Source organism: Homo sapiens, chromosome 16, assembly GCF_000001405.40.
Source record: "Homo sapiens chromosome 16, GRCh38.p14 Primary Assembly".
In the NCBI taxonomy this organism is placed as follows: domain Eukaryota; kingdom Metazoa; phylum Chordata; class Mammalia; order Primates; family Hominidae; genus Homo; species Homo sapiens.
Genome location: NC_000016.10, coordinates 84,031,242 through 84,054,907, shown reverse-complemented (window position 1 = coordinate 84,054,907; position 23,666 = coordinate 84,031,242). Strand labels below are relative to the sequence as shown.

At 54.4% G+C, this 23,666-nt stretch overlaps 2 protein-coding genes and 1 pseudogene across 5 annotated transcripts in view, besides 7 other annotated features; all 3 read left to right on the top strand.

Moving 5' to 3' along the window:
* MBTPS1 (membrane bound transcription factor peptidase, site 1) overlaps positions 1-1,145 on the top strand; it is a 63,180-nt gene extending 62,035 nt beyond the window's left edge. For all 3 annotated transcript variants that reach the window (NM_003791.4, XM_047434831.1, XM_047434830.1), the window contains exon 23: positions 263-1,145. In NM_003791.4, the coding sequence (NP_003782.1) occupies positions 263-459 (197 nt within the window). In that variant the 3' untranslated portion in view covers positions 460-1,145. The remainder of the gene's footprint in view (positions 1-262) is intronic.
* Positions 5,481-6,365: an enhancer, noted in NCBI's record as "H3K4me1 hESC enhancer chr16:84082148-84083032 (GRCh37/hg19 assembly coordinates)". NCBI's record gives its function as "activates a minimal SCP1, AML or CMV promoter by ChIP-STARR-seq in primed H9 embryonic stem cells {active_cell/tissue: H9 hESC(primed)}" and the evidence as "EXISTENCE:reporter gene assay evidence [ECO:0000049][PMID:30033119]".
* Positions 8,782-9,554: an enhancer, noted in NCBI's record as "H3K4me1 hESC enhancer chr16:84078959-84079731 (GRCh37/hg19 assembly coordinates)". NCBI's record gives its function as "activates a minimal SCP1, AML or CMV promoter by ChIP-STARR-seq in naive H9 embryonic stem cells {active_cell/tissue: H9 hESC(naive)}" and the evidence as "EXISTENCE:reporter gene assay evidence [ECO:0000049][PMID:30033119]".
* Positions 10,542-11,245: an enhancer, noted in NCBI's record as "NANOG-H3K4me1 hESC enhancer chr16:84077268-84077971 (GRCh37/hg19 assembly coordinates)". NCBI's record gives its function as "activates a minimal SCP1, AML or CMV promoter by ChIP-STARR-seq in naive H9 embryonic stem cells {active_cell/tissue: H9 hESC(naive)}" and the evidence as "EXISTENCE:reporter gene assay evidence [ECO:0000049][PMID:30033119]".
* Positions 11,246-11,950: an enhancer, noted in NCBI's record as "NANOG-H3K4me1 hESC enhancer chr16:84076563-84077267 (GRCh37/hg19 assembly coordinates)". NCBI's record gives its function as "activates a minimal SCP1, AML or CMV promoter by ChIP-STARR-seq in primed H9 embryonic stem cells {active_cell/tissue: H9 hESC(primed)}" and the evidence as "EXISTENCE:reporter gene assay evidence [ECO:0000049][PMID:30033119]".
* The window catches only part of SLC38A8 (solute carrier family 38 member 8), a 33,706-nt gene continuing 21,575 nt past the window's right edge, over positions 11,536-23,666 (top strand). The window contains exons 1-6 of one of the 2 annotated variants that reach the window (XM_017022946.1): positions 11,536-11,912; positions 12,272-12,357; positions 12,749-12,939; positions 18,008-18,206; positions 21,439-21,580; positions 22,940-23,041. In XM_017022946.1, coding sequence (XP_016878435.1) covers positions 12,751-12,939; positions 18,008-18,206; positions 21,439-21,580; positions 22,940-23,041 — 632 coding nt within the window. In that variant the 5' untranslated portion in view covers positions 11,536-11,912; positions 12,272-12,357; positions 12,749-12,750. Of the gene's footprint in view, positions 11,913-12,112; positions 12,358-12,748; positions 12,940-18,007; positions 18,207-21,438; positions 21,581-22,939; positions 23,042-23,666 lie in introns of those variants that run through there. The other variant, NM_001080442.3, reaches the window with a different exon arrangement.
* Positions 11,951-12,654: an enhancer, noted in NCBI's record as "H3K4me1 hESC enhancer chr16:84075859-84076562 (GRCh37/hg19 assembly coordinates)". NCBI's record gives its function as "activates a minimal SCP1, AML or CMV promoter by ChIP-STARR-seq in primed H9 embryonic stem cells {active_cell/tissue: H9 hESC(primed)}" and the evidence as "EXISTENCE:reporter gene assay evidence [ECO:0000049][PMID:30033119]".
* Positions 12,655-13,359: an enhancer, noted in NCBI's record as "H3K4me1 hESC enhancer chr16:84075154-84075858 (GRCh37/hg19 assembly coordinates)". NCBI's record gives its function as "activates a minimal SCP1, AML or CMV promoter by ChIP-STARR-seq in naive H9 embryonic stem cells {active_cell/tissue: H9 hESC(naive)}" and the evidence as "EXISTENCE:reporter gene assay evidence [ECO:0000049][PMID:30033119]".
* RNA5SP432 (RNA, 5S ribosomal pseudogene 432) lies at positions 14,875-14,990 on the top strand (annotated as a pseudogene).
* Positions 21,433-21,933: an enhancer, noted in NCBI's record as "H3K4me1 hESC enhancer chr16:84066580-84067080 (GRCh37/hg19 assembly coordinates)". NCBI's record gives its function as "activates a minimal SCP1, AML or CMV promoter by ChIP-STARR-seq in primed H9 embryonic stem cells {active_cell/tissue: H9 hESC(primed)}" and the evidence as "EXISTENCE:reporter gene assay evidence [ECO:0000049][PMID:30033119]".

Genomic DNA, 23,666 nt, shown 5'->3' with positions numbered 1-23,666 from the left:
TCTGCGGGGATCCCAGGGAGGAAGGGCAGCAGAGATCCACCGAGCCTCCACCCCACAGGAAGTGGCTGCTCTTTGCTCTCATCCACTCTTTATTAATAGCCTGGGTTACTTTAGCTAAGGCTTAAAAATGATGTATGCCCTGCAAGCCCAGCTAGTGAAATTAGCTCGCATTTAGTTTCTGATGAATCCAGCCGTCATAGAAAAAGGCCGTCATGGTAGCTCTGTGGCGTTCCTGCCTGTTCAACCGGCTGTCCTCTTACAGGGATCATGCCTGGCCGCTACAACCAGGAGGTGGGCCAGACCATTCCTGTCTTTGCCTTCCTGGGAGCCATGGTGGTCCTGGCCTTCTTTGTGGTACAAATCAACAAGGCCAAGAGCAGGCCGAAGCGGAGGAAGCCCAGGGTGAAGCGCCCGCAGCTCATGCAGCAGGTTCACCCGCCAAAGACCCCTTCGGTGTGACCGGCAGCCTGGCTGACCGTGAGGGCCAGAGAGAGCCTTCACGGACGGCGCTGGTGGGTGAGCCGAGCTGTGGTGGCGGCTGGTTTAAAAGGGATCCAGTTTCCAGCTGCAGGTTTGTTAGAGTCTGTTCTACATGGGCCTGCCCTCCTGTGATGGGCAGAGGCTCCTGGTACATCGAGAAGATTCCTGTGGATCCCGTCAGGAGGGACTTAGTGGCTCTGCCGCCAGTGAGACTTCCCGCCGGCAGCTGTGCGCACCAAAGACTCGGGAGAACTGGAAAGGCTGTCTGGGGTCTTCTGACTGCAGGGGAAGGATGTACTTTCCAAACAAATGATACAACCCTGACCAAGCTAAAAGACGCTTGTTAAAGGCTATTTTCTATATTTATTGTTGGGAAAAGTCACTTTAAAGACTTGTGCTATTTGGAAGCAAAGCTATTTTTTTTGTCAGTGGAATGCAGTTTTTTTACTATTCCATCATGAGGAACAACATAGATTCCATGATCTTTTTAATGACAGTACAGACTGAGATTTGAAGGAAACATGCACAAATCTGTAAAACATAGACCTTCGCTTTATTTTTGTAAGTATCACCTGCCACCATGTTTTGTAATTTGAGGTCTTGATTTCACCATTGTCGGTGAAGAAAATTTTCAATAAATATGTATTACCCGTCTGAAGCTTAAAGATACTGTGTAACGGACTCTTTCCACTTGTCCCATTTCTCTTTGATGACGGTCTGGAATGGGTTCTGAATCAACCTGCTAATTTTGTGTTCACTGAGACGTAATTCACATAACATTCTCCACTTTATAGTGTAGAGCGCAGTGGTTTTTGGTGTATTCACAAGGCTGTGCAGGTTCCGGAACATTTCCATCACCCTAGAGCAAAACCCCACTCCCACCAGCAGTCACCCGCGTTCATCACCTGCCCCTAGGCTGCTGGCGGCCGGGCTGCTCTGTGGATCGGCCTGTTCTGGACATGTCCTTTCAATGGGATCGCACAGTACGAGTGGGTCCTTGGCGTCCAACTCTTTTCACTCAGTGTCGTCTTTTCAGGGTTCATTGACCAGCGCTGTAGCAGGTATCAAGACTCATTCCTGCTTGTGGCTGAGCAGTGTCCTGTGGTGTGGCTAGACCAGTTGTGTTTCTGTCTTCCTCAGCTGGTGGGCGTTTGTGGTGGTCCCACTTTTTGGCTGTTGTGAACAGCACTGCTCTGAGTATTTGGGTATGGGGTTTGTGCGACGTAGTTTTTTTTTTCGTTTTTTTTTTTTTTTTCTGTTGGGAGTGTACCTATGTGTGAAATACCGCTTTGTGTTTAAGTTTTTGAGGAGTTGCCAGACTTTTTTTCTAAAGCCGCTGCACCATCTTGCATTCCTGCCAGCAGCGTGCAAGAGCCCCCCTTTCTCCACATCCTCGTCAGTACCTGCAGTTCCCCGTCTTACAAATGCTAGCCATCCTGGTGGGTGTGCAGCACTGTCTCACTGCAGCTTTCACTTGCACCTCCCTGAAGACTCACGACATTGAGTGTCTTTCCATGTGTCTGTTGCCCGTTTGTCTTCTTTGGAGAAATGTCTGTTCAGAGCCTTTGTCCATATTTTAATTGGGTTGTCTTTTTATTGAATTGTAGGAGTTCTTAGGCGAGTCCCTTATCAGCGATGGAACTTGCAGATATTGTCTCTTGTTCTTTGGGCTGTCCTTTCACTCTCTTGATGCCATCCTTTGAAATAGAAAAGGTTTTCATCTTGAAGTCCATTTTTTCTGTTTTTTTTTTTTTCTTCGGTTGCTTGTGCATTAGGGGTCATATTGGAAAAAGCATTGCCTGATCCCAGGCAGCCTGTTCATCGTCGATCCCCACCTGAACAGGGTGTTGTATGCTGACTGGCCGAGCACCAGCCCACACAGCAAAGGCGAGGGTGACTGGGAAGGAGGGCAGAGGCCGTGCGGGGACTGACAAGGGTGCTGCTGAGGTCACGGGCAGAAAACATCTCGGCCCACGCAGGGGAGGAGCCACTGGGCCGACTGTCCCTTGCAGTTCTTTTCGTCCGCGGCAGGTCACGTGCTCATCTTGCAGCTCTCACTGCACTCTGCCCACATTGCTTCGAGAATCCGAATGTGTTGCTGAGGTCCCCTGAGGCATTCGTTGCTGTCCCAAGGGTGTAGGGCGTCACACGCAGCCCGGGGGCGCGAGCATCTGCCACTCAGGAGCCCTGCTGTCCCTAGCAGGTGGCTGCGGCTCTGAGCCGCTCTCCTTACCCACATGGGGCCTTGCAGCTCTCCTTACCCACATGCGGCCTTGCAGCTCTCCTTACCCACATGCGGCCTTGCAGCTCTCCTTACCCACATACGGCCTTGCAGCTGTCCTTACCCACATGGGGCCTTGCAGCTCTCCTTACCCACATGCGGCCTTGCAGCTCTCCTTACGCACATGGGGGCCTTGCCGCTCTCCTTACCCACATGCGGCCTTGCAGCTCTCCTTACGCACATGCGGGCCTTGCCGCTCTCCTTACGCACATGCGGGCCTTGCAGCTCTCCTTACCCACATGCGGCCTTGCAGCTCTCCTTACCCACATGCGGCCTTGCAGCTCTCCTTACGCACATGCGGGCCTTGCCGCTCTCCTTACCCACATGCGGGCCTTGCAGCTCTCCTTACCCACATGCGGCCTTGCAGCTCTCCTTACCCACATACGGCCTTGCAGCTCTCCTTACCCACATGGGGCCTTGCAGCTCTCCTTACCCACATGCGGCCTTGCAGCTCTCCTTACGCACATGCGGGCCTTGTAGCTCTCCTTACCCACATGCGGGCCTTGCCACTCTCCTTACCCACATGTGGGCCTTGCAGCTCTCCTTACCCACATGCGGCCTTGCAGCTCTCCTTACTCACATGCGGCCTTGCAGCTCTCCTTACCCACATGCGGGCCTTGCAGCTCTCCTTACCCACATGCGGCCTTGCAGCTCTCCTTACCCACATGCGGCCTTGCAGCTCTCCTTACGCACATGCGGGCCTTGTAGCTCTCCTTACCCACATGCGGGCCTTGCCGCTCTCCTTACCCACATGCGGGCCTTGCAGCTCTCCTTACCCACATGCGGCCTTGCAGCTCTCCTTACCCACATGCGGGCCTTGCAGCTCTCCTTACCCACATGCGGCCTTGCAGCTCTCCTTACCCACATGCGGCCTTGCAGCTCTCCTTACCCACATGTGGGCCTTGCAGCTCTCCTTACCCACATGCGGCCTTGCAGCTCTCCTTACCTATATGCGGCCTTGTAGCTCTCCTTACCCACATGCGGCCTTGCAGCTCTCCTTAAGCACATGCGGGCCTTGTAGCTCTCCTTACCCACATGCGGCCTTGTAGCTCTCCTTACCCACATGCGGCCTTGCAGCTCTCCTTACCCACATGCGGGCCTTGCCGCTCTCCTTACCCACATGCGGGCCTTGCAGCTCTCCTTACCCACATGCGGCCTTGCAGCTCTCCTTACCCACATGCCGGCCTTGCAGCTCTCCTTACCCACATGCGGCCTTGCAGCTCTCCTTACCCACATGCGGCCTTGCAGCTCTCCTTACCCACATGCGGCCTTGCAGCTCTCCTTACCCACATGCGGCCTTGCAGCTCTCCTTACCCACATGCGGGCCTTGCTGCTCTCCTTACCCACATGGGGCCTTGCCGCTCTCCTTACCCACATGGGGGTCTTGCAGCTGTCCTTACGCACATGCGGGCCTTGCAGCTCTCCTTACCCACATGGGGCCTTGCAGCTCTCCTTACCCACATGCGGCCTTGCAGCTCTCCTTACCCACATGCGGGCCTTGCATGCTGTTGGCTCTGGAGCCTCTCGTCTCACAGGTCTCTACAGGTGCAGGCCACTCACCGTCTGGTGGTCAGGACCATAAAGGACAGGGTTATGTTAAAGGTTTTGCCTCAAACCAGAAGGCGAGGACCCTTTCTGTCCAGTTGCCGGAATGATGTCATGAGGAACTGTGTGCCCAGGCACGCTGTGCTAGTTACAACATGTGTTTTTGTTTCATTCCCCACACACTGTAAGGTGGGCATCACTGGGCCCATCACACAGGTGAAACAGAAGCCCGGGAATCACTCGTCCCCTTGCCCAGTCATACAACTAGTAGCCAAGGCAGAATTTGAACTCATGTTGCCCTCAGTCCCAAAACCTGTGTACTTAACCCTTGTTCTCTCCTGCTGGTGTCTGTGTGATGTCCCATGTCTGTCTGTCTCTCTCTAAAGGGACAGTGACACACCAGGAGGATACCCAGATGCTGGGGGGCCTTGGGACAGAGTCTGGGAGGATTGAGTGAAGGAGCAGGTGAGGGTGAGCCTGGAGAGAGAACGCCCTGGTGGAGAGTTTATGTAGAAAGGGGATTAGGTCTCCGGGAGGAACCGGATCCATGTGGTCTGCTGAGATGGCTGAGTCTGGCATTCAGATGTGCCACCCAACAGAAGAGGCCCTGGAGGGACGCCCCCTTTGCTGGGTGGCAGCCGTGGGATTCCGGGGTCTGCCTTGGAGGTCCTGGAGAGGATGTCGTGGCCCTGGCCCTAGACTCAAGCTGCCTGGGTCCAGTTCAGCCCGGCCACTCCTGCTGTGGGCCCTAGCCAGGGGCCTTCACTCCACCGACTGCTGTGTGTTTGGTACATGGTGTCACCCAGGCCATGTGCTTAGCCATGTGCCTGACAGCCAGCGCCGGTGTCAGCCATTACAGGGACACACGTGCCTGGAGGTTGAGGCCACGTTCTGTCACCTAGGCCCACTCGTGGTCCTGGGCTGGGCCAAACCCCCCTTCGAAAGGATTCCTTTTTGCCCCTGGCATAGGCTCTCATTGTCCTAGTGAACAGCTACATCTTTTTAACAAGCCAGAAAAGGCCAGCTGGCAGTGGCTCTGCCTGAAATCCCAAGACTGGCTGGCCGAAGCAGGAGGATCACTTGAGGCCAGCCTGGCCAAAGTAAGCAAGACTCTGTCTCTACAAAAAAATAACAAAAAACAAAAAAAAGACCAACCAGCCACAACCACAGATAACACCTGGGGTTCACAGGGGGCCTGGGGACCGTGAGAGGGGCCAGATGTCATCCTTTGCCCTGGCTCTCTCTAGAGACTCAGGCAGTGGCCCCGATTGCAGGAGCCTTTGAGATGAGATACAAATAGTGACTCCCCCTTTGGCCCCCTCCCCTGTATAGGACACTCAAGTCTAGATCTTTCTTTGCACACACACTTGTCTGTTCCGTGCAGAGCGTGCCCCACATATGATGGCTCCAAGGAGACCTCCCAGGAAAGCCACGCACAGTAGGTGAGCCTGGCCCACAGCGATGGTCCTGGGACCTGCTGAGCGGTCGTCTCTGTGCCTCAGGCCAATGGTTCATGGGCATGATCCCGCCCAGGGCTCTCGGAGCCATTTCTCAGGCGAAAACCCAGGTCTGGCCTGGGCCTGAGCTCTGAAGCCCTCACCGCCAGGCTGCCTGCCTCCCACGGCGGGCGGAGGGTGCTGCCTACTGGAAATAATGGGAGGGTTGACATAGATTTTGATTTCACAGGACACAAAATATAGAGTCAAGGATATGCAAAAGGGTTGTCTCCCATTTTATATACAGGTTAGATAGACATTTCTAGAGAAATATTGAAATTCTTCATTAAAAAAGTGGCTGGCACCACCGCCTTAATTGGATATTAACTCACGGAATAATGGTTTCATTTGCTGGTAACAAGAAGGCATTGCAGGTGAGTGTCCTAGAAATACAGATCCCTGGCCTCACCCCAGCTTGACTAGATCATCTGTTCCTTGGGAAGGGACTAGGAATCTCTTTTAAAAGCTCCCAAGAGCAAACAACTGCTGGAACTGTGACCCAGCAGTCCCTAAGCCTATACGCAAGAGAACTGAAAACAAGGTGTTCAAACAAAAACCTCTGTGAAGTTCACACCTGCACTATTCACAGTAGCCAGAAGGCGGGGCCGGCCCACAGGTCTAGCAGTGATGGCCACATGGACAAAGGTGGCCTCTCCATGCCATTGAACACGGCCACAAAAAGAAACGAAGTTCTCACACATGCTCCCAAGTTGGGGAACCCCAGGAACATGCTGAGTAAAAGAAGCCAGACACAAAAGGCCATGTCATGTGTGATGAAGTCTCCACAGTAAACAAAGTTCACAAAAACAGGGAGTCGATTCGTGGTTGCCAGGAGCTAGGGGAAGGGATCTTCCTTTGGGGCTGTTGAAAATGTTCTGGAATTAGATAGTGGTGATACTGGCACAACATTGTGAGTACTTAAAGCCACTGGATTGCACACTTTAAAATGGTAAGCCCCAGAATGGAGTTTAAAAAAAGTGAATTTTATGTCATGTTAACTCTTAACACGCTCCCTCCACAGGAGATTCTTGTCAACAGGCGGCCCCCTTGGGAGCCCTGGCTTAGAACCTGGGAGAGGTTCTTGTGCCCTTCCGACTCCCAGTGTCAGTGTGAACCCAAGTGGTCAGAACCCCCTGGATGAAGACCCTGTGGGCTCAGCCCTGGCACCACGTCCTCCTCCCTGCCCTCTGCCCCCAGCCCTGTGTTGGCTGCTGACCACCCCCCGCAGCACCCCCAGTGTTTCCTCCATTGGACACAGTGGCAGGAGGAGAGTGAGCCTAAAGGATGCTTCCTTTCCCTCCCACAGTTCACCCCTTTACTGCTTTACCCAGAGCAGGTCTTCTGACTACAGCTCTGGAGAAGCAGCCCCCAGGCGGGGACCGCGGGATGTGACAAGGCCTGTGCCCTGTGGCTGTGTTCCTGAGGGATCCAGCCTCTGCTGCTGAGCCCAGGGGGAGCCCACCAGCCTGTCCTCTCAGAACTGCCCAAGGATCGGAATTCAGGATGCTGGTGTATGTGGGTCCTATTGCCACCTGGACAAACTACCACAAATTTAGTGGCTTAAAACATATATTGCGGTTCCAGAGGTTGGAAGTGCAAGTTCAGGCTCACTGGCCTAAAATCAAGGTGTTGGCAGGGCTGGTTCCTTCCTGAAGCCCTGGGTGAGAACCCATTTCCCTGCCTTTCCCAGCATCCGGTGGCCCCTCCTCCGTGTTCCACGCACACCCTTCTAGCCTCTGCTGCTGTCTCCACACCACTGTCTCCTCTCTGACCTCTGGCCCCTCCTGCATCCGTGTTAGAAGGACACTGATTACATATAGAGCACACCTGGATAGCTCAGGGTCCCCTCCCCACAAGGTCCCCGATCTCATCTGTGAAGCCCCTTTTGCCATGTGGGGTAACATACAAGGCCTGGAGGTTCCGATGAGGACATCTTTGAGGCCATCATTTCACCGACCACAAGCAGTTTCTCTATCCCTATGACATCCGTCTCCCATCCGAGGACTTTTGGTCCCTGGTAATTTCTGCAGGTGGGGCCCCTCCCACCATCTGAGAAGCTGGAGGCCGGCTCTGCTCCGACACACTGGGCTTGCTGCGCTGCTTACTAAGCAGCCTTCGTGGGCCAGGCCTAGGGCTGAGAGCTTCGGAGAAAGGAGGGGCTTCAGTCTCGGGGACAGCAGGGTCAGCGGGAGGCCCTAAGAACTGGGTGCTCTACTCTCACAGCACGGTAGACCCTCCTGGGGGAGCTTCGTAGAAATTCTGACTGCCCATAATCCCAGCACTTTGGGAGGCCGAGGCGGGCAGATCACCTGAGGTCTGGAGTTGGAGACCAGCCTGGCCAACATGGTGAAACCACATCTCTACTAAAAATACAGAAATTAGCTGGGCGTGGTGGTGCACGTCTGTAATCCCAGCTACTTGGGAGGCTGAGGCAGGAGAATGGCTTGAAGCCGGGAGGCAGAGGCTGCGGTGAGCCGAGATCGTGCCACTGCACTCCAGCCTGGGCAACAGAGTGAGACTCTTGTCTCGGAAAAAAAAAAAAAAAAAAAAAAAAAAAAAAAAATTCTGACGCCTAGTGCCGTCCCAGGCCAGTTGAATGTGCAGTTTTGCGGGTGGGCCTGGCATCGGTAGTGTAGGAAGGCCCGAGGCGGTTCTCGTGTAGCTAAGGTTCAGGATACTGTTCTAGAAGCTCCGATTTGGACCCAAGTGAAAACGGAAATTTGGATAATGGAATATGGCACACACTTCTGTTCCAACCTCAGCAGCTGCCACGTGCCACTCCTGTGCTGTGCACACCATCCACGGGCCCCTCCTGACAGCCCCAGAGAGCAGGCGCCTGTGTCCTCCCATTTCACAGGTGACTCGAGTGAGGCTCAGGCCTGAGACCCCAGAGCCAGGGTGACGATACTGTGTGCTGCAGCCGGCTAGCTCCTGAGGCCTGCCGTCATTTGTTCTCTGGAGTTTTCTGGGGTGGTGGTTGTTGTTGTTTGAGATGGAGTTTCGCTCTTGTCACCCAGGCTAGAGTTCAATGGCACGATCTCGGCTCACTGCAACCTCCACCTCCCGGGTTCAGGTGATTCTCCTGCTTCAGCCTCCTGAGTAGCTGGGATCACAGATGCCTGCCACCACGCCCAGCTAATATTTGTAGTTTTAGTAGAGACAGGAGTTTTGCCATGTTGGCCAGGCTGACCTCCAACTCCTGATCTCAGGTGATCCACCTGCCTCTGTGTGAGCCACCGGGCCTCTCCAGAATTTTCTAACGGACATGAGCAGAAAGGTCTGGGAAACGATCAGAGGCCACTTTGTTGTGAAAGTTCCTAGGCCTGTCACCTGACACGGACTCTGGGGTCCTCAAGAGCTCCCTTGGTGAGGTGGGTCCCCGCAGCACAGCGGGGGAGAGGCCACCCCAGGCTGGGCGCTCTTGTGCAGGGTGCCGTGTGCAGCGTGGGCCACGGCCGACAGCATCCACACGGGCACCTCCGTGTGGCCTCCTCGTGCTCCTGCTGCACTGGAGCCAGTGTCAGGTCTGGGTGGGCTGGGCCGACTAAGCAGAGGGTGGCCGCCCACCCGCCTGCCCGCCCGCCCACCGGCTGCAGATGCAGCCCAGTAGGGCGCCCCTCCACAGCTCGGGAAAGGTCACGCAGCCCTGTGATGCCGGCAGAGAGTGGATATCAAAGCCCCTCCGAATTAAGAGGTTTTCCCCATTGCCTGGAATTTCACAGCCCAATGGCCAATTTCTAAGTCATGCACGTTAATGGGCCGCTAATGAGGGACCCACCGGCAGGGACAGGGAAGTGTCCCCCCAGCCCCCGAGCGGAGATTAAGGACTGCAAAGCCCCCAGCCGCTGCTGAAGGGCCCTTTATCTCCTTTCTCAGGAGGCTGGATTTGGGGGGAAGCGGGAATGACTTGGCCTCTTTGGCAGGCCTCGGAGAGCTGTGTGAATACTGCGTGTGGTCCCCGCCCTCTCCCAGCCTGGGTACTGCACGGGCCCTGCCTGCGGTGTCACCCGCAGCCCCCTCCTTCCCTGCTGTGTCCAGTGCCATCTCCACATGGTTTAGTGACCCTCCAGCGAGTGGGACACAAGAGTTTAAGCCTTTTCCCAGCTCAGCGCTGACCTAGGTCTCTATCCTAGGGAACCCCAGTCCCCGGGGCCCTTCCCGGGAGCACTGGCTCATGCACCTGCCACTGGGAGTCTCCACTTCCCAGAACATCCTCCCAGCCCTTCACCAATGGTGCACAGATATCCCCTCAGCCCCCACACTTTCTCCAGGAAGCCCCTCCAGATTCACCTCCATTCTTGGGTCTCGTAGTCCGGTCCTCCCATTGGGCTTGGGTGGCTTGTCTCTTCTTGAGCTCCCCACGGGACCGTCCCCTTCTCTGGAGGAGCCTTCTCTTTCACCTTTGAGCTCCAGTGCCTGCATACAGTAGGCACTCAGTGTTTGTTGAATGACTGATGAGAACTCAAACAGATCTCAGATGTGAGGGGTGTAGTGGGCTGAATGGTGGCCCCCAGTAGAGAGATTTATGCCACGCCCTGGAACCTGTGACTGTTAACGTTATTTGGAAAAAGGGTCTTTGCAGATATAAGTAACGATCTTGAGATGGGATCATCTTGGATTATCTGGGTGGGCCTTTCTGAAAAGAGAAGACACAGAGGAGAAAGCTTGGGAAGATGATGCTGGCAGAGACGGCAGCAATGCAGTCACAAGCCAGGGAGTGCCTAGGCCCCCAGGAGCTGGAAGAGGCAGGAAGGATCCGCCCTCCATGGCCTCCAGAGGGAGCATGTCCCCATTGATACCTTGACCAACTTCTGACCTTCAAGACCATGACAGAATAACTTTCTATTGTTCTAAGCCCCTGAGTCTGTGTTGGCAGCCTCAGGAGCGTAATACAGGGGAACAATCAAACGACGTTTCCTTTCCTCTCTTTTCTGGCATTTGTGTATTCATTCATTCATTCATTCATTCTCTCACACACTCATTCAGGCACTGTCAGAGTCCTTGTGGGGCAGGAGGCCGTGTGACATTACAGCCTCTGAAAGGAGCCTGACTCAGGGTGAATCCCAGCCTTGTTGCTTGCCAGCTGTGATGCTCTGAGCCACGTGCTCCACCTGCCTGAGCCGAGTTCCTGCTTGGTGCGGGGTGGGAGTTGGGGGGAACAGTGGGGACACCCGCTCAGGAATCCGCGTGAACTCATCCAGGCTAGGTTCTCAGCAGCACATTTATGCAGCAGTGGCGTGAATGTCATCCGGGTCATTGTCCAGCCTTGAGCTCCGGGACTGCAATCCCGGCTCCCTTTCACTTGCCCCTGCTGAGAAGCCAGCCACTGACTCTGCTGGTTGGGCATTTATGGAGCAGCCATTGTGTGAGCCACAGAGTTTGGAACCTGCCTGCTCATCAGGAGGTAACAGGAGTCGGGGGTTGAGACCATTAGAAACCACATCAAAAAGAAGCCTTTGGGGCTGATCTGGTGTCGGACAGATAAGGACTGATTAGATGCAGCGGGGGGAGGGGTTCTGGGCATTGAGGATATTTAACTGAAAGCAGTGCTTCTCAGCGAGGGGCCGAACCAGCGGCATTGGAGTCACCTGGGAACCCGTTAGAAAGGCAGGTGCCCAGACCCCGCCCCGGAGACACTCAGTCAGAAACAGGGGCTGGGGCCTGGTGTTCTGTGTTTGAACAAGCCTTCCAGTGGATTCTGATGCAAACTGGAGTTCGAGAATGCGGGTGAGAGGGAGCCTGGGTTCCAGGAATAAACAGTCAAATTCCGGATCTGAGCTGCATGTGCCAGCATTTTCCGGAATGGGGCCGTCTCCGATATTCTGTCCCCTTAGCTGACCCCGTATCAGTTTGGAGAGATGTGTCATCACTCAAGCGTGGCCTAGGGACCAGCAGCCGCCGCCTCCCCCAAGCGTTCAACAAGCCCCGTCTCAGGTGACTCGTGTGCATGGGATTAGCTCTGAGACGCACCTGCTGGAGTTGGGTGGAGGAGGTAAAGGAAACCACCTAGGAGGCAGCACCTGCGGACGGTGGAGCCTGTTCTGCAGAGGAGGAGGCTGGGCTCAGGGCACTTTTCACGCCCCCTCCGTTGGGCTGGGGACCTTGGAGAGGTATGTGAGGATGGAGGCGCTGCAGAAGCTGCCATGAGATCATGGTGCCTGCTCCCCTGCCCCGTGTGGCTCCCAGCTGAGCTCCCTGTCACCCTCCAGGGCAGCTGAGAAAGCTCCACCCCCGGGGCCGGGCCTGCAGGGGGCTGGGGAGAGGCGGGAGTCTTAAGCCTTCCTTGCTCAGGTCAGAAGTCTCAAAAGCTGCAAATTCTTGGGACCCATGGCCCTGACCACTTGTTGCTGTCCTCTTAGGTGTGGAGGGGCCTGACCCTGACACATACTCGCTAGGGCTCCTTTAGTTAATGACTCACTCACCCCTGGCCAAGCTCGAATCTTGCTTCTCCCACCCCTCTGGCCCCAAGAAATGCAACTGAGCCACCTGGAGTAAGCCCGAGTCCCATCCCCAACAGCCAAAGACTGTCCGGCACCTTAAAAGTTGGATTTGGTGGTAAGGACCAGGAACTGGGGGTCTGTTTGTACAGAAGTTTGGCTGGAAGCAAAGGGAGTGGATGGGAATGGGGGGAGAGAGGATTGATGGGGATGAGGAAGGTTGGGGGTTTGGGAGAAGAGAGGGAGGGGGAAGGGGTGAGGTTGCCTTGGGGTCTAGTGGGAGGGCAGGAGTGAGAATAATGTGGGTAGGGAATGGGAGACGAAGGGGGACTAGAAGTCGTGGGCAGATGCATGCAGCACCCTTTGGAAAGGGGGAGCTGACGCCAAGGAAGCGGGCAGGAGCGGCTCAGGGAGCTCTCACTGAGTTGGGGAGACAAATAAGGATATCGAGAACTTAGGGAGGAAAGCGTGAAGACTGTGCTTTCTCTCCACCCCTCTGCCGCCTCTAGCCATGGAGGGACAGACCCCAGGAAGCAGGGGCCTTCCAGAAAAGCCTCACCCTGCCACGGCTGCTGCCACTCTGTCCTCGATGGGCGCTGTCTTCATCCTCATGAAGTCCGCGCTGGGAGCTGGCCTGCTCAACTTCCCCTGGGCCTTCTCCAAAGCGGGCGGAGTGGTCCCTGCCTTCCTGGTGGAGCTGGTAAGTCCCCGGGAAGTGAGTCCTGGGGACGGGTACGAGGTGGCTTTGGCTTTTCTGGGTGGGGTTCCTCGCATTGCTTCTGCGGAGTTGCGTGTCCTGTAAGCTATAGCTTCGGGGTTTTATTTTCTATCCCGCTCAGCTAATGAGGGGAGAAGATAATCCCACTGTAGCCCTGGGATGAGAATATCCCCCGTGGGCGCTGGTGGCATCTGATACACAGCTTCCGGGATGGAGCTACAGGCATCGCAGCTCTGTCTGTGAAGTGGGCATTTCACCTGGGAAGGAACCTCTCTGGGCGCCCTGCCTGGCCAGCTGCTCTTTCTTGCCTGCTGGTCTTAGCTCAAAAACTAAAGCTGGGCCGGGCACGGTGGCTCGTGCCTATAATCGCAGCCCTTTGGGAGGCCAAGGTGGACGGATCACCTGAGGTCAGGAGTTTGAGACCAGCCTGGCCCATATGGTGAAACCCTGTCTCTACTGGAAATACAAAAATTAGCGGGGCGTGGTGGCGGGCGCCTGTAATCCAAGTTACTCAGGAGGTGGAGTCAGGAGAATCGCTTGAACCTGGGAGGCGGAGGTTGCAGTGAGCTGAGACTGTGCGCTCCAGCCTGGGCGACGGAGTGAGACTCTGTCTTAAACACACAAAAACAAAGCTCGACTCCTGTGTGCAGATTGAGCCTAAAACTGGTGTGACACTCCCACACTCCCCACACAGAGCCGGGCCGGCCTTGCCTGGTGTCGGATGTTCCGCTCTCCTGCCTGCCGGGTGCAAAGCCAGAATTCCCTTTTGGGGAAGCGCGGACGCCGCGCTCTTCTCTTTGCTGCGGGAGAGCCACTGATGAGCACAGCTTTATTTTCTAAGATCCTTTGCCGCTGGCTGATGGAATGAATTGCTGCATTTTGTGGTAAGCTCTTTGGCCGGCTTTTTCTCACACGTCTTACGGCAGCTGGTGGATAATGGCTGAGTTCCAACCGTTTGTGTGCCCTGAGGCTCTTCGGGTCTGTTTGGAAACTAGTGTCGGGTGTAACCCATGACACCCCTGGCGTTGGCCGAGCTCCTGCCCCGTGCCTGGCCTAGGATGGATGACGCAGTGTGGTCCCTGTCCTCATGGAGCTTTGTTTTAATGGGAAGTCAGACAAGATGCATGTCATCAGCTTCAGATGGTGGATCATGCCGGGAGGGTCATGTGTCTCTGGGGATCGGGGGATGATATGACATGGCGTGGTCGGAAGCCTCTCGGAGGAGGTGACCTTTGCGCTGAGCCCCACTGGAAATGGTAAGAGCTTCCTGAGGTGCACGTGACGGGGCAGCACGCCTGCGTTTGGACTAGTGTGTCAGGAAGCCTGCCATTACAGCAGTGAGGGAGAAGCCCCATCTCAAGCCACAGAGGGCAGGTGGGGCTTGGGGGTAGGGTTGTGGCCAATCCCCGGGCAGCAGGAATGGCCATGAGCCAGAGAGTGGGAACCCTGTTCCACAAGCACCGTGCAGGCATTTCACACAGATCTTGCTGAAATGCAGATGCTGGCCCTGCAGGGCTGGGTGGGCCTGAGACCACATTTGTGACTTGCTTCTGGGGAAACAGCTGTTTTGTTTTGCTTAGGATGAGCTCCAGATCCCTTCACTCAGCAGACTTGAGGAGAAGGGAACCCTGAGGTGAATAAATGGAAACTCATGGCAGAGCAGAGGAGCCAGCCTGGCTCTTGACACGCTCCCGCCACCCCAAGTTGTTCCTTTTAGCCTCCAGGGCTACCGGGGAGATGGAGTTGGGGCTGGAGTGATGTCACTGTGAATGATGGAAGATTTGGGGGAGGCTGCTATCCTCCACTTAGCTGGTGAGGCTTCTGCATGGGGAGCGTTTAAATGTGAAGTCAGTGGGCAGAGGTTGGAAGCCTGACGCGTTAGGGTTGGCGGTTTAGTGCCATTTGATGAAAACAGTCTAGGGCCATACCACCTTGAACGCACCTGATCTCATCTGATCTCAGGAGCTAAGCAGGGTCGGGCGCGATTAGTACTTGGATGGGAGACATTTGATGAAAACGGGCAAATCCCCTCTTGGGAGCTGTGGAGGGGCTGGGTCTGGCATGGCGACCGGGGCTCCTTGCGGTTCTGCTGCCTGGAGGCTCAGTCCCTCTTGTGACCCTGTCCTCCAGGGATGGCTGGCTCACCAGTGAGGCTTCCTTGCCCCCCACACCTTCCCCTGCCTTTTTTTTTTTTTTTTTTTTTTTTTGAAGGTCTCACTCTCTTGCCCAGGCTGGAGTGCAATGGCGTGATCTCAGCTCACTGCAACCTCCGCCTCCCTGGTTCAAGCGATTCTCCTGCCCAGCCTCCTCCCAAGTAGCTGGGACTACAGGCATGTGCTGCCACACCCTGCTAGTTTTTTGTGATTTTAGTAGAGATGGGGTTTCACTGTGTTGGCCAGGATGGTCTCGATCTCCTGACCTCAGGTGATCCACCCGCCTTGGCCTCCCAAAGTGCTGGGATTACAGCCATGAGCCACCGTACCCGGCCCCCCTGCCTTTCAACCACAGATGTTTTATGAGTGTCTGCATTTGTCAGGCCCTTCTCTGGGGCAAAATAGAAAAAAGGATACCACCCAGTCTTCAGGGAGCTTAGAGCGTGGGTGAGAGGACATTGGAGAAATCCCTCAATATTTTACAATTGCATGTGTCTGTTTCCTAGGGCTGCTATAACATATTACCACAAAACGTAGGGCTTAAAACACTGGAAATGTATTCTCTCACAGTTCTGGAGGTCAGGAATCTGACATGAAGGTGTCAGCAGGGCTTCGCTCCCTCCAAAGGCTCTTCGAGCTCCTGGTGGCTCCAGGTGCTTCTTGGGTTTATGGCCTCAGGACTCCAATCTCTGCCTCCTTCCCTTCTGTCTCTACAAGGACATACCTCAATGGGTTGAGGGCCCACCAGATCCAAGATGACCTCACCTCAAGATCCTTAATGATAGAGGCAAACCCCTTTTTCACTTAATTAACATTTTCCTTGTGGACATCTGCAAAAACTGTTTCCAGTAAGTCACGTTCACAGGCTCTAGGGATTAGATGTGGAATGCTCGACCACCATGCTCAGCTAATTGTGATCTATTCAGACAATGGCCTTTTAGCAAAAACAGAAGCAAGCTGCCTGTGCGCCCGATACGGATCAATCACACATGCTTGATGGAGTGGGAGTAGCCAGGAATTACGTAAAGGTGGAAAATACTAGACCGGTGGTTTCTTCTGGGGATGGGAGGGAGACAGAAGTGGGACTCGTGGCACCGTCCGGGGTGTGGCGATGTTCCGCCTGTGGGTAGCAGTTTGGCTGGCACATGTGCATTGTACATCTTCCAGCAATACACTTAAGACTTTGAGCATTTTATATGTAAATATTCACCCTACAAGAGAAAAGGCCGGTGAATGAACAAACATCAAGCTCTAATGCATGGTAGGCACGCCAGAGTATTCCAGGGGATGTACACTGGGATCTGCAGCTTGCTTCAAAATGCTGATCCATTAAGATGGATGGATGGCCTCACAGAGGCATGGGTGGAAGGGTAGAGGAGTCAAAGCAAGTATAGCAACCTGTCATGGGGGAGTCGGGTGGCTGCCCACAGGGGTGTTCACTGTAACGTTCTTGCAACTTTCCTGTACATCTGAATTTTTTTTTTTTTGAGAGGGAGTCTCGCTTTGGGGCCCAGGCTGGAGTACAGTGGCACGATCTCAGCTTACTGCAACTTCCGCCTCTTGGGTTCAAGTGATTCTCCTGCGTCAGCCTCCCAAGTAGCTGGAATTACAGGCATGTGCCACCATGCCTGGCTAATTTTTGTGTTTTTAGTAGAGATGGGGTTTCATCATGTTGGCCAGGCTGGTCTCAAACTCCCGACCTCAGGTGATCCTCCCGCCTTGGCCTCCCGAAGTGCTGGGATTACAGGCGTGAGCCATAGCACCTGGCCTGAAAATTTTTTATAATACATTTTGGAAAAAGATTTAAAAATACAAAAAACAATTAGCTGGGTGTGGTGGTGTGTGCCTGTAGTCCCAGATACTCGGGAGGTTGAGGCAGGAGAATTCTTTGGACCTAGCAGCTGGAGGTTGCAATGAGCCGAGGTCGTGCCATGGCACTCCAGCCTGGGTGACAGAGCTAGACTCCGTCTCCAAAAAAAAAAAAAAAAAAATTGAAGCTGAAATAGAGGGATGTTTTCTTTTCTCTTTTTTTTTTTTCGGAGGCAGTCTCTCTGTATCCCCCAGGCTGGAGTACAGAGGTACAATTTTGGCTCACTGCAACGTCCGCCTCCCAGGTTCAAGAGATTTTGCTGCCTCAGCCTCATGAGTAGCTGGGACTACAGGCATCTGCCACCATGCTTGGCTAATTTTTGTATTTTTAGTAGGGACAGGGTTTCTCCATGTTGGCCAGGCTGGTCTCAAACTCCTGACCTCAGGTGATCCGCCTACCTCGGTCTCCAGAAGTGCTGGGATTGCAGGCATGAGCCACTGTGCCCAGCCGGAACACCATTTCTTGAGCACTGACACGCTGAGCCGAGTATGTCACAGACCTTGTTCAGTCCTGACGTGTCATAGCAGCACCCCTGCAAGGGGGCGGTGCCGCCCCCATTTCACAGATGGAAAAGCAGAGGTTGCCATCCTGCTTCATGCCACACAGCAGGTGAGCAGTGGTTAGAACCTGAGCCCGGCTGTGCCCGCTCCACCTCGGGTTCCAAGCCACCACGCCTACTGCCTCTCCACCCACAGCCCAGGCGATTTTAGGAGAGTAACTTAAACACTGGGTTTCTGATGTCTCATTTATCCCACTGGGGCAGGATGGTGTCAGATTCCCAGGTTCACAGCCTAGAGCCAGTGAGCCTGCCAGAATCAGCCTGCACTGCAGCTCTGATTTCAGGATAGGTGGGGTGGGGTGGGGGTGTGTGCAGTGACATAGCTGGTAGACTGCCAACCCCATGTTGGCAGCAGCCCTGGCCTCTGTGGATGAGAAGCCATGTGGAGAGTGTGCCCGAGGGGTGGCTGGCTGGGGGTGGGTGGGCTGTGGGCACACCCCAGTTCCAGGTCCTGCTCCTTCTCCGCAGGTCTCGTTGGTCTTCCTGATCAGCGGGCTGGTCATCCTGGGCTATGCTGCTGCTGTCAGTGGCCAGGCCACCTACCAGGGTGTGGTCAGGGGGCTGTGTGGCCCTGCCATTGGGAAGCTGTGTGAGGCCTGCTTCCTCCTCAACCTGCTCATGATCTCCGTGGCCTTCCTCAGGGTGATCGGGGACCAGCTGGAGAAGCGTAAGTACCTTCATGGGACTCGGGGTGGCCCAGGGTGCCGGACCTCTAATGACCTCTTGGAGTTTCCAGTTGAGCAGGACGTGGGGCCCTGGCCTGGGCCCTGAGGGACAGCAGAGGCTGAAACCACACTCTTGTTCCTAACATGGTAGGGAAGGGAGGCTCCGAATGGATAGTCACCAGTTGGGTGACAGTCATGGGCACACAAGTGCATGAGAGAGGTTGTGGCTGCAATTAGGATATCCAGTGGAGATAAGTCGTTTCACAGATGAGTAAATGGAGCCAACAGCAAGCAGCTCCTTCTGAGAAAGAACCAGTAACACCTTTAGCTTTGGAATGGCTGTGGCTCTGAGCCCTCACCAACCTTGGCCTCGAGTTCCCGACTAAGACTTTCCCTCTAAGCACTGCTTTAGCTGCATCTTGCCAATTTTCATATGTCCTATTTTCATTTTCACTGGACTCATTCCTCATGAATGGAAAATTTAAAATATTTGCTCCTTTTCACTGTGGTTTCTTTGACTTGTGAGATGTTTAGAATTGTAGTGTTTAATTGACAATTATTGAGGAGTTTTTTAGATTCCTTCACGGTTTCGACCTTAATTTGCATCATGGTCAGGGAGTCTGTATCATTGCTGTCTTTTGAGATCCAGTGAGACTGGCTCTGTAGTCCAGCACATGGTCTGTCTTGGAGAACACTTTGTGTGCTCTTCAGAGAATGTGTACTCTGCAGTTGCTGGGTACAGTGTGCTGGCAATGTCCATTAGGTCAAGGCAGTCAACAGCTGTGTTCAGATCGTCATTGCAACCATATTAATCTTTAGGTCTAGTTATTCTATTCCTAAGAGAAGGATGTTAAAGGATGTTAAAATCGCCAGCTGCGATTGCAGATTAGCCTATTCTGTCAAGCTTCATGGTTCGTGGTCTTTGAAACTCTAGGTATATCCTTTTATTATGAAGTATTCTTTATCTCTGGCATTAAATCTGTCTTCTCTACCATTAATAGAGGCACTCTAGCATCCTTAAGACTAGTGTTTGTATAGAAGTTCTCTTCTCATTCTTTGACTTAGAATCTAACTATGACTTGGATTATTTTTTTGTTAAATGTGTTTATATGTCCTTTTTGCAACACCAGCCTGAGAATGGCTTGGGATTTTAAAATGCATTTCTTGTAGGCAGCATATGGTCGGGTCTTGCTTTTTTATCCAACTTGACAGTCTCAGACTTCCGATTGGAATGTTTAGACTTTTAATTGGCATGTGATTGTTGATAGGGTGAAATTTAGTGTACCATTTTGCCATGTGTGTGTTCTGTGTGTCTCTTGACCCATGAAGCAAAAGGCCCCTGACTGGGGGGTATTGAGATTGAAGGCTGCTGTGTCTTGGTAAACACGACCTTATACCAAGAAGAAGTGAGATTGGCGTATCTGAACCTCTTAATGGGTAAGTGGGCACAAAAACGTCCTGCTCCCCCACAGTGGCAAGTAGAGTTCGTCTGCAGTTTCAACTCCACTGAACTGGTAGCGTTGCTGTGTTAAGAAGGATTCTGAGCCTCACTGGGAGCGGAGCCCCCTGACTAGTCAGAGGACGGATGAGGATACGGGCCACCCCAGGTCTGGGTTGATTGACTGTGGTGGAGAGAGCGTTCTTGTGTATATCTGGTTAGATATTTGGGGATGCCTCTCTGTAGGGAAGGCCAAGCTTCTGAGACGGAGTGCTAGATAGAGGTTGGAGTGCTTGGGGGAGTCATGGCACGAGGTACAATTGACCATGTCTTTGGTGCCAAAGATCTCAAGCATCCGGGAACGCTGGGTTTAGGAAGGAGCTGGTACAGTCCTGCTGTTGGCCCTGAGGATCCTGGCTATGGGAGGTCCAGATGCAGACAAAGGGCCTGCCCCATCCCACGCCACCTGGAGGTCTAAAACTCACCCACGATCTCGGTGCAGTCCTGGGGCATGTGCAGTCCCTTGGCATCTCGGCTCTCCCACGTGGATGCTGCTGTGACCACCTGCTTTTGGAACTTTCCCCTTCATCATTTCGTACGCTTGAGCTATTCTCACATGCATTCATTTTTTCACATGGCTCCCCTTGTTGAGTGAGAACAAAGAAGCACTTAAGACACCTCAGGGCCAACAACCCACCGAAGGAGCGAAGACATCTCAAGCTCCTCGGCCTCCCATCTCCAGTGGTTGCAGGGGCCACCTCACCCACCCAGGTGGTTCCCAGTGGCTCCCACCTCCAACCACCCTCCCACTCGCCTGTGCTTTCCCCTCCCCCATCTGTCTTACCTCTTAGATGGGTTCCAAATCATTCATCCCACTGTGGCAGAATAAAAATGGCCCCACATTCTTTGGTGTTCTTTCCACGGAGAGGTTAGTGGAGCTTGTGTCCCTTGCCTTTGAATTAGGTGTGCCTGGATGGCTTTGTCCAGCAATGTGTGGCAAATGAGACACTGCCCATTCTGGGTCTGGCCTTTAAGAGGACAGGCAGCTTCTGCCTCAGTCTCTGGGGTCCCCCAGCTGCCATGGAAGAAGTTGGAGGTGCCTGCTAGGTGGCCCATGTGGAGAGACTCCCAGACTGCAGGGAAGGCCCAGGTGTACCCATCAGGCAGTAGGTGTTGTGGGGAGCCATCAGGGTTCCTCCAGACCAGCCCCACTGCCAGCCAGAGACCCCCCAAGCAACCTCAGCCAATTCTATATGGAGGAGGATTGGCCAGCCTGGCCCTGTACTAACTCTCTACCTACGATCCATGACTTGTAATAAAGTGGTTTTGAGCCACTGCATTTGGGGTCATGTGTTCTGCTGCAACCATGAGGACCTACAATGCTCATGCACAGCAGCCTGTTGCTGACGGCACGGTGGCCAAAAATCGACTTCAGGCCCCCATTTGACTCCAGATACTATTGAGTTCCCGAACGAAACCAAAAGAGTCTTTCACCAGAATGTAAGGGGCACGAGGGCAGATGGCTTGTCTGGTCATCGCCTCATCTTGGGCCTTAGAGCAGTGCTGGGCTTGGGGAAGGAGCCCAGCGAATGTTTGTTGAATGAATTCATGTGTCAGGGTTTGTTCCTGCGTGGGGCACGTGACCTGTCTCCATCTCACTTGTCGTCTGATCCCTGGGCTCCTGGGGCTGGCTGAGGGTGGATGTCCAACCCCAGCCAGGGTTGAAGGGCCAGGTGGGAGCCGAGAACCCACGGCATTTGTACTCTGTGGCTCAGCTCTCCCCGTGTCTCTGGCAGTGTGTGACTCCCTCCTGTCTGGCACCCCGCCCGCCCCGCAGCCGTGGTACGCAGACCAGCGCTTCACCCTGCCCCTGCTCTCCGTGCTGGTCATCCTGCCCCTGTCTGCCCCGCGGGAGATCGCCTTCCAGAAATACACAAGGTAAGGGCTGGGATGCTGCCTGGTGGGGGCCCCCACCTTGCTGAGTGTTTGTGTCAGGGTTTCTGTCCATCTGGGGTCAGAGGAGCTGGGGAATTGGCCTTCACATTTGGAGAAGGGGAAAACGAAAAAAAAATTATACAAGTAAAATGTATGCATGATGCAAAACATAGATGAGCCTAAAGAAGAAAATGACCTGTAACAACGTCAGTGCTACTCAGTTTATTTCATTGTTGGATTTTTTGCACATGGCTGCAGAGAGAGAGAGACGCCTCCCCACAACACACACCTACCCACACCCACACATACACACCCACCTACCCACACCCCCCCATGCACACCCACCTACCCACACCCCCCCATGCACACCCACCTACCCACACCCACCCATGCACACCCACGTACCCACACCCACCCATGCTCACCCACCCACACATGCACCCCCATCCCCGCATGTCCCCGTGCCCATGCACGCACATGTGTGCACACACACAGAGGTTGTTTTTTTGTGGCTAAGGGTCTGTATACTTAGGAAGAAATAAAGCTTGGAAACAGTATCCATCTCCCTCTGCTGCCTGCCTTTTCCCTGTTGTGTATGAACAATAGACATTGTATAGAAACAGCAGGCAGCAAACCCGAGCCTCCCTCAGGTCTCTGCCCTGCAAGGCTCTCGTGCCACTCAGACCAAGCCAGGGGGCGGCTTGTCCCCTCTCAAGTGTGAGCGAGCCTGCTGGCGTCCTGCCTTAGGCATCAGGCTGAGTGGCTGATTAGCTTTTGCTGGTGGGAAGGAAACACTATTACAGCTGCCATCCCGAAGGGCGCCGGGTGCCATTAAGAATTCTACACATTTGGGCTGGGCGTCACACCTGTAATTCCAGCACTTTGGGAGGCCAAGGCAGGCAGATCACGAGGTCAGCAGTTCAAAACCAGCCTGACCAACACGGTGAAACCCTGTCTCTACTAAAAGTACAAAAATTAGCGAGGCGTGGGGGCGGACACCTGTAATCCCAGCTATTCGGGAGGCTGAGGCAGGAGAATTGCTTGAACCCGGGAGGCAGAGTTTGCAGTGAGCCAAGATTGCGCCACTGCACTCCAGCCTGGGCAACAGAGCGAGACTCCGTCTCAAAAAACAACAACAACAACAAAACAACAACAACAAAACTCTACATCTGACCCCTTGACCCCAAAGCAGCCCTGCCCCACATGCCCCCTGTACAGATGAGGATGGTGAGGCAGAGGTGGACAGCTTGGCCAGCACCTCATTGTCAAGGGCGGAGCTGGGATTCAGATCCCACTACTGTCCCCGTGCATCAACCGCACATGTCACCCACTGCGCAGCCCCTCACACGGTCACTGTGTTAGCATCCTAGGCACTCTGGCTGCCTGTTACCTGGCCCTGGTCATCACCGTGCAGTACTACCTCTGGCCCCAGGGCCTCGTGCGTGAGTCCCATCCTTCACTGAGGTAAGTCTGAGGGAACAGCTTCCGGCAGCCTCGGCGGGGAGGCACGGCAGGGGAGTCTGTGAGGGGAGTCTTGGAGGAGGAGCCTCTCGTGGCTCACTGCAGAGCCTGGGCTCCTTCCTTCCAGTTCTTTCCGTCTCTGATGCGGTGAAGGCAAGGGAGGGCCACTCTCCTTCTGCTGCAGGGACCTGGCCGTGGCTAGCGATGACCGGGACAGGCCAAGGGACGCAGAACCGCCAAAGGCTGCGGCGGCCTAGGGGTCATAGGTTATTGCAGACTTGTCCCCACAGTGTGGAGGTACAGAATCTGGCAGCCATCCAGCTGCATGTACCGGGGCAGGGGAACAGTGAGGAGGCCGGTGTGGCCAAGCCAGCCGGAACAAGGGCAGAGAGCATGGGCGGGGATGTCGTACAGGGATTCAGAGCCACGGCGAGGAGTTTGGTTTTGCTCTGGATGAGTTGGGAGACTTGGCAGTGTTTTGAGTACAGCAGGGATGTGACAGGATTTGTTTTTAGAAAGGGTCACTCTAGGTAGGGTGTGGTGGCTCATAGTTGTGATCCCAGCACTTTGGGAGGCTGAGGCAGGTGGATCACTTGAGGTCAGGAGTTCAAAACCAACCTTGCCAACA